The 11340-nt window shown below is 47.7% G+C and overlaps 1 protein-coding gene across 53 annotated transcripts in view, besides 8 other annotated features; it reads right to left on the reverse strand.

Moving 5' to 3' along the window:
* Positions 1-11340, reverse strand: part of PAX6 (paired box 6) — a 28936-nt gene that overhangs the window by 1548 nt on the left and 16048 nt on the right. For 17 of the 53 annotated variants that reach the window (NM_001127612.3, NM_001368890.2, NM_001368888.2 and 14 more), the window contains 7 exons: positions 10988-11203; positions 10118-10283; positions 4057-4215; positions 3459-3541; positions 3079-3229; positions 2865-2980; positions 137-287 (listed from right to left, as the gene is read on the reverse strand). In NM_001127612.3, coding sequence (NP_001121084.1) covers positions 137-287; positions 2865-2980; positions 3079-3229; positions 3459-3541; positions 4057-4215; positions 10118-10283; positions 10988-11203 — 1042 coding nt within the window. Of the gene's footprint in view, positions 1-136; positions 288-2631; positions 2981-3078; positions 3230-3458; positions 3542-4056; positions 4216-9965; positions 10089-10117; positions 10284-10656; positions 11204-11297; position 11340 lie in introns of those variants that run through there. The other 36 variants (NM_001258462.3, NM_001368919.2, NM_001310158.2 and 33 more) reach the window with 12 other exon arrangements.
* Positions 2634-2847: a silencer, noted in NCBI's record as "fragment chr11:31814755-31814968 (GRCh37/hg19 assembly coordinates)". NCBI's record gives its function as "represses an EF-1alpha promoter that drives an FKBP-Casp9 reporter gene in an ReSE screen in HepG2 liver carcinoma cells and phorbol 12-myristate 13-acetate-treated (for megakaryocytic differentiation) K562 erythroleukemia cells {active_cell/tissue: HepG2 | K562(+PMA)}" and the evidence as "EXISTENCE:reporter gene assay evidence [ECO:0000049][PMID:32094911]".
* Positions 4331-6300: an enhancer, noted in NCBI's record as "VISTA enhancer hs1082". NCBI's record gives its function as "enhancer in: neural tube[10/14] | hindbrain (rhombencephalon)[14/14]" and the evidence as "EXISTENCE:transgenic organism evidence [ECO:0001131][PMID:17130149]".
* Positions 4331-9133: a biological region, named in NCBI's record as "enhancer region in intron 7 of PAX6".
* Positions 4539-5124: a conserved region, noted in NCBI's record as "conserved region; CE4". NCBI's record gives the evidence for it as "COORDINATES:sequence similarity evidence [ECO:0000044][PMID:14732405]".
* Positions 5393-5890: a conserved region, noted in NCBI's record as "conserved region; CE3". NCBI's record gives the evidence for it as "EXISTENCE:sequence similarity evidence [ECO:0000044][PMID:14732405]".
* Positions 7149-7864: a conserved region, noted in NCBI's record as "conserved region; CE2". NCBI's record gives the evidence for it as "EXISTENCE:sequence similarity evidence [ECO:0000044][PMID:14732405]".
* Positions 8054-8591: an enhancer, noted in NCBI's record as "H3K4me1 hESC enhancer chr11:31820175-31820712 (GRCh37/hg19 assembly coordinates)". NCBI's record gives its function as "activates a minimal SCP1, AML or CMV promoter by ChIP-STARR-seq in naive H9 embryonic stem cells {active_cell/tissue: H9 hESC(naive)}" and the evidence as "EXISTENCE:reporter gene assay evidence [ECO:0000049][PMID:30033119]".
* Positions 8805-9133: a conserved region, noted in NCBI's record as "conserved region; CE1". NCBI's record gives the evidence for it as "EXISTENCE:sequence similarity evidence [ECO:0000044][PMID:14732405]".

Below are 11340 nucleotides of genomic sequence, written 5' to 3' on the forward strand. Positions count from 1 at the left end.
TTCAATCCCCATCCCCCAGGGACAAGGAAAGCAAGGAGTTAAACACGCCCTCCCATAAGACCAGGAGATTCTGTTTGGGTAAACTTCTAGTGAAGAGAGATCGCCTCTGTGCAGCCTGCAGAAAGCAGTGGCTCACCTGTTGAAGTGGTGCCCGAGGTGCCCATTGGCTGACTGTTCATGTGTGTCTGCATATGTGGGGGGGTGTAGGTATCATAACTCCGCCCATTCACCGAAGGGCTGGTGGGCAGCATGCAGGAGTATGAGGAGGTCTGGCTGGGGACTGGGGGCTGTGAGGAGAGAGGCAAACCTGTGGTTACTGAGGAACACATCACACAGCCACAGCCCCAGGCTCCCTCCTCCCGAGGAACTCTGCCAACAAGTCTGATCATTAAAGATGCCTTCACGTGAAGTACTGGAATTCCATATGATAAATCTAAGATTGGGCCTCGAGCTAGTCCTTCCACTGGCCACAGCTAGAAGAAAGCTGCCTATGTATCAAGCCTCTAAAGCACTTTAGGTTCTGACAACTGTCCAGCTAGATGGTTGCCACTATCCATAAATTAATAGGATTTTTGTCTCTAACCTCTGCTAGCATCTTTGAAGAACCTATAGCATGAGGACCTTCATCAAAACACATCCCCTCTCCCTGCAAATCTGGATTTATTTGGGAACCCTATGACCCCCAGAGCCCATATCTCAAGCTTTGGGACAGAGAGCAGTGGGAGGAGCTCTCAGTAAAGTATGGTTCAGGGACCTTGGGAACCTTTCACTGATGGGATTAAAGATTCTTTGAAGAAGCAGATCTGTAATGACCCCAAGTTAAAGTGATCAGAAGTGTTAGTAAATATAACGACCTCCATCCTGAGAATTAACCATGACTTCCTAACAGACCCAAAAGCCCAGACTGACTTATAACTAGAAAACTGTTGCTACCCTCGAACTGTTCGGAATGGCAGCACTGAGGAGGTAAACCTTTCTCCTAACAAAACGCCTCATGAGCTCTCATGGTACTATGCCATGGCAGCAAACTTGGGATGAATTAAAAGAAGTGTGTCGGGAACAAGCAGGTCAGATGATAGTACAGTATACTATCATTTCTCTTCTCTGCAAACTGGAGAAATGTTTAATTTCCAAAATCCATATGCTCAGAGAGGGAAGCATATCAGAGAAGGTCCAGAGGAAGACACCCACCATTTGTAAAATGATGATTTTGGTCAAGAGAATGAATAAATGGATAGACAATCGGGCTCACCCACTCCAAAATTCAAAGAGTAGTTTTCTCTGAAGAGTAAAGTTATTGATCATTTTGATTTTCTTTATGCTTAATGAATGCATGTACTTTTTGAATTATACAAATTATGTAATTTTTAAAAGTCAGTGTTTGAAATAGATTGATTCCCCATACCGCTCTGTATGTGGAAACAGCCCTAATATAATTGCAGCATCTACTTGTTCGTCTTATTATTTTCTCACATACACATTTTGCTATCTTCACAGAAACCTGGATGTTGTTATAATACATGAAACTGAACGAGACACTCTGTGGCCTTATTAAAGTCAGATGATGAATGCTAACATCAAGTTCAAAGAGGCAAACAGGCCTTGAGGGCCTGCCAGAATTTCAGCTTGCATTTGTTTCTAATTCCTGCAATGAGTTCCTCTAGGCAACCTGACTTCTGGAAAATTCCAACGCAGTTATAGCAACACCAACTAATGGGCTGTTAATCCCTTAATTTACATCAATTGCACTATGGCCAACAATATCCAGATGCAATAAAAATAAACATGTGAATAATTCCTCTGAAGTTGCTTATCTAGCTGCTCCTATATTAGTCTGAAGACTGTGAAACATTTATTTTGCTGTTATTTGGATTTGAAATCCAGCAAAAAATGTTCAATGGAGAATAAACAATCAGTGTAGCCCCAGAACTGTTTCCAGCAGAGGCTCATGCTGGCCAATATCGTACCATCTAATATCTCTAATTGTTGCACAAACAGGAGTTCTAGGAAAACCACTGGGAAAGGCCTACCAGAAGACAGACATTTTTCCTATCAAGAATCCATCCAGCAACAAAGGTCTAGTACAAACCATCTGCCTTATCCAACTTACATCATAAAGGGTGAACCTAGTGCAGGACCTCTAAATGTAGGGGCTAATAGATATTTGGGACAGAACTAAGAGGAGAGGCAGGCTGTCATACCAAGTGAATAGCATCAAGCTTCCCAGGCAGCTAGGAGGGCCACAAACTCGTCACACCATTCACAGCAAAGACACACTAAATTTCCAGCAAATACCTGCTATGCCTTTTCTTATTGTAGATACAGACAGAAAACTAGCATTCTCATTATATTATGTATATCTCACCATGTAAATATGAATCCCATTTCTGATCCTTTTTTCTTTCTCACTAGTTTATCACATATACCCAAAGTAATGCCCCAAATGCGTGCACAGATTCTATATTTAGCATACAAACACATTAATATAAACCCAAATTTTAAACTACTAATCTGCTATCTGATAATGTGCCAGCATTATTTCCACTTTCTGGTGCAAGGCTCCCTGGTACCCAAAACATGCCCCACCACCACCCAACATTATCAAGGTAACAGTATAATAAAAGGCAGATCAACCTGACAAAACTGGACAGATTTTTATTACTCATTTTTTTAGGGCATGAATTAATGAGTCAATCACTTAAAAGTGATGGGATTGACTGTCTCCGACTTGACTGGTCAAGCCAATCACTGTAGTGCGAAAAGCTCTCAAGGGTGCAGACACAGCCAATGAGGTCCGCAGGCCCTGAGCCACTCCTCACTTCTCTGGGGCCTGGGTTATGCAGGCCACCACCAGCCGCACTTACTTGCATAGGCAGGTTATTTGCCATGGTGAAGCTGGGCATAGGCGGCAGAGCGCTGTAGGTGTTTGTGAGGGCTGTGTCTGTTCGGCCCAACATGGAGCCAGATGTGAAGGAGGAAACTGAGGGCAAGAGAAATGACAGTAGTCAGAGTGAGAGTCAGAGCCCGGAGCAAACAGGTTTAAAGACATTGATTCGTAGTATTAGTATTTCAAATTACCCGGTGTGGTGGGTTGTGGAATTGGTTGGTAGACACTGGTGCTGAAACTACTGCTGATAGGAATATGACTAGGTGTGTTGCTGGCCTGTCTTCTCTGATTCCTCAGTTTTTCTTCTCTTCTCCATTTGGCCCTTCGATTAGAAAACCATACCTGGAAATCAGGTGGGACAGGTTAGCACTGTGTCTACGTCGAGCCCAGCCCCACCTTGGCACCTCCACTGCTGCCCTCCCCACGCCCATGGCAGCAGAGCATTTAGCAGACTGAACCTTTTTATTATATTAGTCCTATAAATAAATAGTACTCTGTACAAGCACCTCTGTCTCTAGGAAAGACAAATGGTATGAATCACAAAGTGTGAAACTGCACAGTCTCTCGGTACCTGTATTCTTGCTTCAGGTAGATCTATTTTGGCTGCTAGTCTTTCTCGGGCAAACACATCTGGATAATGGGTTCTCTCAAACTCTGAAAGAGTAAGTTGATTTTCCATATTGTGCCAGAACTACACAAAATATGTTGACCAAACTGTGCATCAAACTGGTTCCCACCTCCCCACTCCCATTACCTCCAACCAATTCCCTTTAAAATGCTTCTAGTGTTGACTGTACTTGGAAGAACTTTCCCACCAGAACCAAGTTAAATTTTCTTTGGAATGGCATTCAGTGACCTTTCTGTGGCCTGAAATAGCCAAATCATCATTTTTCCTTATAAGTCAGACATTTAGTCTTTGAATTACTGGTAGATGAAAAGAAGAAACACACACACACACACCACACACACACACACACACACACACACACACACACACACACACACACACACACACACACTGAAAAGATGCCCAGAGAAATAAAAAGACAGAAAAAAGGAAATCTTTTCATTCTTCTATGCAAAGGGCCCTGGCTAAATTTAGCTCTTTGTACTGAAGATGTGGCATTTACTTTGATTTACTGCTTCTCTACTTTGAAAAACTCTATCACCTTTCTCCAGGGCCTCAATTTGCTCTTGGGTAAAGGATGTTCTATTTCTTTGCAGCTTCCGCTTCAGCTGAAGTCGCATTTGAGCCTCATCTGAATCTTCTCCGTTGGAACTGATGGAGTTGGTATTCTCTCCCCCTCCTTCCTGTTGCTGGCAGCCATCTGGAACAAAAAGAATAGGATGGTAAGAGAAATTTGGATTAACTTGGAGCCTCCAAAAGGGGCCTGGTGTAGTCTTAAACTCCAAGAGCATTATATCCCGACAGCCTCACCAAAACATTCCCAAGGTAACTGTCAGCCTTCTTTTAAAAAAATACATTTGCGATGTTAGTTACCTGACCACCATTTTCTTTGTTTTTATCAAGATGAGACTTTATAATACACACACTAAGTGGCATTTCTTGAATGAAAAAATAAGCACTGAAGTTTCCAATTAAAATGATCTTTTATAAGTAACCCCAACTCCCCAAATGCCTCACTCCACTCCCTACAGAATCTCTTTACCTATGGCTGTGTTGGGAAAATAGAAGAGTGATGTTCAAGATTTCAGTTGATCTATAATCAGTAATTCCTATCTAATCAATTAGATGTTGATAGGTTTGTAGAAAATGCTATTAAGAAACCAAACCAAGCTTGTAATCTTTTTTAAAAAATATTTATCTAGTTTTTATTTGAATTCTGCACAGTCAATTTCATTTAAAGGTTGTGAATTTAGAAGTGCTCGCATTGTTCTGCAGTTTTATTCAACTATTGTATGAGTGCGCTTCGCCTTGACACCTATTACGAGCACAGCTGTAATTATATCATCACCAAGAACAGGCTATAATTGCTGAAAATGGAATTTTATATTTAGATAAAAGGACTGTCCATTCTTTGTAATGTGTTGCACCAGAGAAAAGTAAGATTTCTTTTAAATTTTTAACGTGTAATTTTAAAAAAGAAATAGTAGAGAGTTCACTAACTAGCTAAATATTCTATGCTGCAGCTGAATCTTTGGCATATCATTTAAGTGGTACATTTTTAATTAGGGCATTTCCACCACTTTGAATGTAACTTCTATCATTATACAGGGGGAAAGTTTTATGGTTTTCCCTTGCTGCCTGGAGGGCAAGATGTGCACTTGGGCTAGCTGGCTCCCGGCTTGCACCTTGCCTGTAAGGCCACAGTGAAGGGAAGCAGGATTGCCTAAACTCTGACTGGGCCTCCAGGGCCACTACAGGCTGGGTCCTGGGTCTGGGGTCCTGAAATGACCCCCAAGGGATACCAGCATGGGCTACCCACCTCCCTATCCTCAAAACTTGGCCAGAGGCGGGGTGGAGGGGCCCCTAGGAGCGCCTTGGTGGGAATCGACTTGGCCAGGAATATTATTTATAACCAGGAGACAATAGGCTGCGCCTTCAAAGAGTTCAGGGAATTGTGACAGGATCTAGTGGGATCTTTTCAGGAACTTTGAAATGTTTTAAAACCCCAACTTTCTCCCCCATTTAAACAGGCGGATTCATCGGCACTGGCCACCATATGGGCCCTTGGAGATCTATTGAGATGACCACCAACACTTGAATAGCGAGGGGCTGCTTTTCAGCGCTGCACAATGCCCCGCGAGTAAGGGAAACTATTAAACTCCTGGGGCAGGAGCGTTGGCAAACTTTCGTGGGCAGAATTTTGAGGCTACAATGAGCGCGGACAACAAAAGGATTCTCTTGAGGCGTGCAGCGGGCCACATTGTGTTACAAGAAGCCCAGTCAACAGACTTTTCAGTGAAGTGTGTTAACCCCTCTGCTCTGCTATCATTAATCACTGTCCGAAGAGCGGGCGCCTCCGTGCTATTTAGGGCGCTTGGCTGGGGGGATGGAGGGTGGATGGGGGGGCCAGGGCCCAGCATGGGGGGAGGCAGGGAGAGTGGACGGGGACCAGGGCTGGGTTCCTACATAGAGGAGATGGAGGGGAGGCAGGATGGAAACCAGCGGTGGGGGTGGAAGCAAGGGGGAAGGATTGGGGGGCCTGGGTTAGGGGAAAGACAGAGGGCGATGGAGGGAAAAAGAGGGCGATGGAGGGGAAAAGAAGGCTCAAAAAACATAGAGGCTAGAAAGGTATTTTTAAAAAAGGACAGAAAAGAATGCTGAGAGGAAAAAGAGACACGAGGGCCGAACAAGAGTGGGAGAGAGAGGAAAAGGAGGATGAGGGCCAGAGAATATTAGTAACTGAGCCCCATCTGGACTCTGGGTCTTTGCACTCCATCAGAAAGGTGGGGGTCGAGGAGGGCTACTTAGCTGAGGGAGACGCGCTCCGCTCACGTGTGCGGGCACAAGCGTCTGTGCTAATTTACTGCCCCAAGTTTCCGGGGACTTTTCAAAGCGTTTTTCAAGGGAAGAAATGAAGCGACCACCCCCACCCCTCGCTTTATTTTCGGGTTTGGTGAAGAAGGAAGACTGGAAATAGCTCCTTTTGGCCAACTAGAAAGGCCGGAGGGTTATTGCTTTTGGAAAACAGACAAAAATCTGTGCACATCTGGTATGGGGTGGGGGACACTGAGGAGAACACAATGCCCATCTCCCCATGGCCACTCATGCCCATGCCTTCCTAGGGGCCCCATCTCGGTCCCTTTTCTGGCACATTCGATCTCGCCAATTAAACAAAGTTGCCCGAATCTGCCTCCGAAGAACCCCGCCGATAGCATGCTCTGCTCTCATTTGCCTCTTTGACATTTTCTTAATTTTAAAACATGGAGATTCACATTCTTATCCATGTTCTGTCTCACACAAACATACACACGGGTTTACACAGGCAGCACGCGATCGCCGCCAGGCCCTGTGCTGCCTCCAGAACTGACACTTAAGAGAGAAAAGTCAGCAGGGACAGTAGAGCTCAATTTTAAATCTGGAAAAAAAAAAAAAAAAAAAAAAGATGGGAAGCGGGGATTGGAATTCCACAGCAAAAAGAAACCTGTCGCTGCAGGATCCCTTCTCTACCCCGCGGGGAGAGCGGCACGGAGACAGTTCATTACTTTAGAAGTGGCAACTGTTTGCAGCCAGGCGGTGACCTAGCGGCTGCTCTTACATAAAATGGGTACATTTCCCCCCACTTTAGTGGATTTGCCTTCCACTCTTAAAGCTTTTAACAAAATAAAACTAGAAGTTGGATCTCGACTCCCCCACCCCCACGATAAACCTAAGTGGTGGACAATTAAGATATCTTCTTCAAAAGGCGCCCCCTCGGAGCCGCGCAAAGCAGGGGCCTTCAGTGGGTGCCGTTCACCTTCCAGCCTAATCCGTGAGAAAGCGAGTGAAAGCGCCTCCCATTATCCCAGCCCCAGGACCATCTGACGATGGGAATAGGATTTGTTTCCTGGAAGGAGGTGAGAGAGAGAGAGAGAGAGAGAGACAGAGAGAGAGTTGCTGGGAAATAAAATCATTCCTTAGTTTCTTAGTGTCTTAATCAGTGAGGCGGAAAACAAGCAAGAAAAGATAGCAACCCGGTTGCGGCACCTTTTCAGCTCTGGAGCGCGGATCAAAACATTGTAGCATCTGTTGAAAGAGAGGCTGACTAAATCCTATAGAGGGCTTGGGTATTATGGGGGGTGGGGGTGGGGTGAGGGGAGGAGATAAGAAAAAGTGTCTCCGTGATCCCTAAAACCACCAAATCGCCGGAGAATTGGGGCTGGATAGAGTTGTCTCTTGTTGTTGTCAGCCCACGTCGTCGCGATTTTATTCACCGCCGCATGGCGTTGATCAGATGGAAACCATATTTGTCTCCCTCTGAGACCTAACCCCCGCCTTATGCTTTTGGAGTATGGACTCTTTAAAACCCAAGAAAGGCTTCCTGGGCTGGGAAAGGGGGCTAGGGAGGGAGGGGGACCCTCTTAGCACCAAAAAGTCTGAGGATTCCCCGGGAACGTGAAGCGAAGCTCACCACCGGTGCCCGCTACCCCCACGCCGGCAACTCTGTGCTTCGTTTGGCCCACGTGTCCTCCCCACGCAACTAGGGGCGACGGTCCTGTGCCTGAGGTGACAATCACCCCCCAAAAACCTCACTTGCGGGTGGGGGGGTGGTGATTGCCAGTTGACCCAGAATTTTCTAGCAACTAGGCGCGTTAAAGTGAAAAGCCCCTGGACTAGCTCCACCTCCGGCCCCAACCATCACAGGCGGACCCTAGCTGATTTGACTCTCACTTCCCGCCCTCAGACTGCCGGCGACGAAAATCCGCCCGAATCGGGCGCCACCTCTGGTGGAAGCTGCTGTCCTCGGCTTCTGCCCAACTCCAAGAAGCGGAAGGGGGGTGTATCCTGCGCCCCAAGCTCATGGGAGCCCACGCACCGGGGAGAGCCCGGAGTGGAGGCTCTGGGCTCAGCCCTCCCAGGCCTAGGCCACCGTGCCCTGAGTCCCTCCCCAAGACTTCTCGGACTAAGTGGGCCAGACTCTTGTCAGGGGAGGGATCACCAGGACCTCAGATTGCTGGGGGCGGAGGGGTGGACGCTCGTGAGTGCGAAGTTCGGGTGTCACTTGGGTGTGTCCAGTGTCTACAAGTGGGAATCCTACGGTTTCAAAAGTCAGGCAGGGATGGGGTTGCCTACACTCGGTGGGGTCAATCGCTAGTCTCACCAGAGGCGGGAGCGGGCCTGGGGGCCCTCTGAGCTCGCGGAGGCGGCGGGTTCGGGGCCCGTGCGGGCGGGGTCGCCCAGGGGAGCCCGGGCCCCGCGCGTCAGGAGGCCTCCGCCGGCCGAGCGGCCGCGCTGGGAAACAAGAAGCGAGCGCTTTGCTCCCTATCTTCCCAGTGTCCGTCCTATATTGTTTTCTGCTCTTAAAACTGACATGTCTAATTGGCAATTGGTGCCGAATCGTGTCCAGAGGTCTCTTGTGGAACATTTCTACAGCTGTCTCCTTCAACTAGACGCTTATTCATGTCGCCTTAATGAGAAACAAAACGTTCTCTAATGAGCAATTACAGAGCGACAGGATTGTTCCCATAACAAATTCTTGCGAGTGACAGAAGCATCCTTTGTACCAGATATTTCGCATACTGTTACCGATTTTCCCTTCCCTCGCCCGACTCCATGGAGGCGCCGGGCATCCGGAGCCGGTCCGAGAGCTCACGGATGCGCCGGCAGCCTCCTCGCAGTCCCGCGCGCCGCCCCTGGCCCCGAGCCCCTCGGCTCCGTTGTGCTCCTGGGAGTGAGACGCCACGTCCCATTATCCCGCATATTATCTCCTTGTCACGAGGACAACAAATACCGATTAATCTTCGGAGTAAACTGTTTCCTATTCTTGACCAAGCTACCTCGGGGTGTGGAGGGGAGCGGAGGGGAGCCAACTGACCCTCCCCTCCGCCCCACCCCCCCCATCCCCCGCTCTTCTTCCTCCAGCCCTTCTCACAGAACCTGGGGTGTTTCAGGTCCCATCTCTCCTCCCAGACCAGAGCGGCTCCCGGCATCCCGCCGTCCTGCTCACAGTATCTTCACCTCACCACTTCCACATAGTCGCCACCCACAGAGAGTGAGAAAGTGGGACCCAGAGGGGCGAACGGGGGAGGGGCAAGGATAGTGGGGTGGTTTTAGTTGGGAGACCACCACTTCCAATGCCCCATCCCCGACTCGCCCTGCATCTCCCTGCTCACCTTTTCATGTGCACCCTACTCATAGTCACATAATTTGTCAATTACAGCAAAAAGCAACAGGATACAATTATGTTAACCTCGCAGTCTGTCAGTGCGTTATCTTGTCACACTTCTACAAGGGGGCTCTCCCTGCATTCTAATGTCAAATTTGAATAGTGCACCACGCAGCTCGTTCTTATGCACACAGTGCTGCCCACAAACACACACACGCACCCACCAGCCACCTTCATACCGCTCCTGACATACACAACCCTCACATTCCCAGGCCAACAAAATGGTTCAACAAACACCACCTACATACAATGTGGTCGATGTGTCCCAGGCCTTCAAATGCAGTCTCACCCATGACATTCCCCAAGCATGGAAGCCCTGAGAGGAAATGGTTGGGAGAGTAGGGGACAGGCAAAGGGATGCACATATGGAGAGCTGCGTGGATGGCTGCTTGGGTTTTACCTTGCGTAGGTTGCCCTGGCACCGAAGTCCCCGGATACCAACCAGGGCGGGTGCCCCAGCTTCCGGTCTGCCCGTTCAACATCCTTAGTTTATCATACATGCCGTCTGCGCCCATCTGTTGCTTTTCGCTAGCCAGGTTGCGAAGAACTCTGTTTATTGATGACACCTGCAAATCAAACCAAAATCAAACCAAATGGTAGTGTCTCCTGAAGACACAGTCACCCATCTCAGCTCACCCACAACCTTAAAAAGCAACTCTCAACCCGTTAAAAAGCTCCCAGCCACCCCGGGACAGTGGGTGGATTTGCAGATACACCGTGGAAAAAATGATAGCTATCACTTTGGGCATGGAAATTTAGTTGGATAGAGAATTGGGCGGAGGGGGTCCTTCACCATTGCTTGGTGTCTCTGGTGACCTAACTCACACGGTTGCTTTGCTTTGTTAAAAGACTGCCCGAAAATAAAAACTATTTAGACTTGTTGTAAAGCTTTCTTTCATTATATTGTTTAATATTAGGATGGAAATGGATGTGTGACACCTGAAGGAAAGTTCTGGCAGGTGGATTAGGACGAAGTTACAATCTGGTTCTCATTTTCCTTCTTCATTCAAGTGCCTTTCCCTGGTGCCTCCGCCCTCTGTTTTGCAGCATGCAAATGAAGTGAATGACTCCCCACACTTGACTCCCATTTTCCAGACAGTCAAAGAAAAGTCAGGGCATTCCTCTCTGTTCCCCCAGGTACAAAGGAGACAAATGTGGAGCAGGGAGAGGACACAGACTAAGAGACAGTGGAGAGAGAGGGTGGGAGGAGGTAAAGAGGAGAGAGCATTGGGCTTAGGGCAGGGAGGGCAGATGTTCTCAATGAACTTACGCTTGGTATGTTATCGTTGGTACAGACCCCCTCGGACAGTAATCTGTCTCGGATTTCCCAAGCAAAGATGGACGGGCACTCCCGCTTATACTGGGCTATTTTGCTTACAACTTCTGGAGTCGCTACTCTCGGTTTACTACCACCGATTGCCCTGGGTCTGATGGAGCCAGTCTCGTAATACCTGCCCAGAATTTTACTCACACATCCGTTGGACACCTGCATAGGGGAAGTGGACAGAAAACCACATTATTAATAATTTCAAGACAAAAATAAAATTGTTTAAGTATGCATTAAACAATGACAAGCTTACGTTTTGATTGTCCAGCACTTGGACTTTTGCATCTGCATGGGTC

This window comes from Homo sapiens, chromosome 11, assembly GCF_000001405.40.
Source record: "Homo sapiens chromosome 11, GRCh38.p14 Primary Assembly".
Classification (NCBI taxonomy): domain Eukaryota; kingdom Metazoa; phylum Chordata; class Mammalia; order Primates; family Hominidae; genus Homo; species Homo sapiens.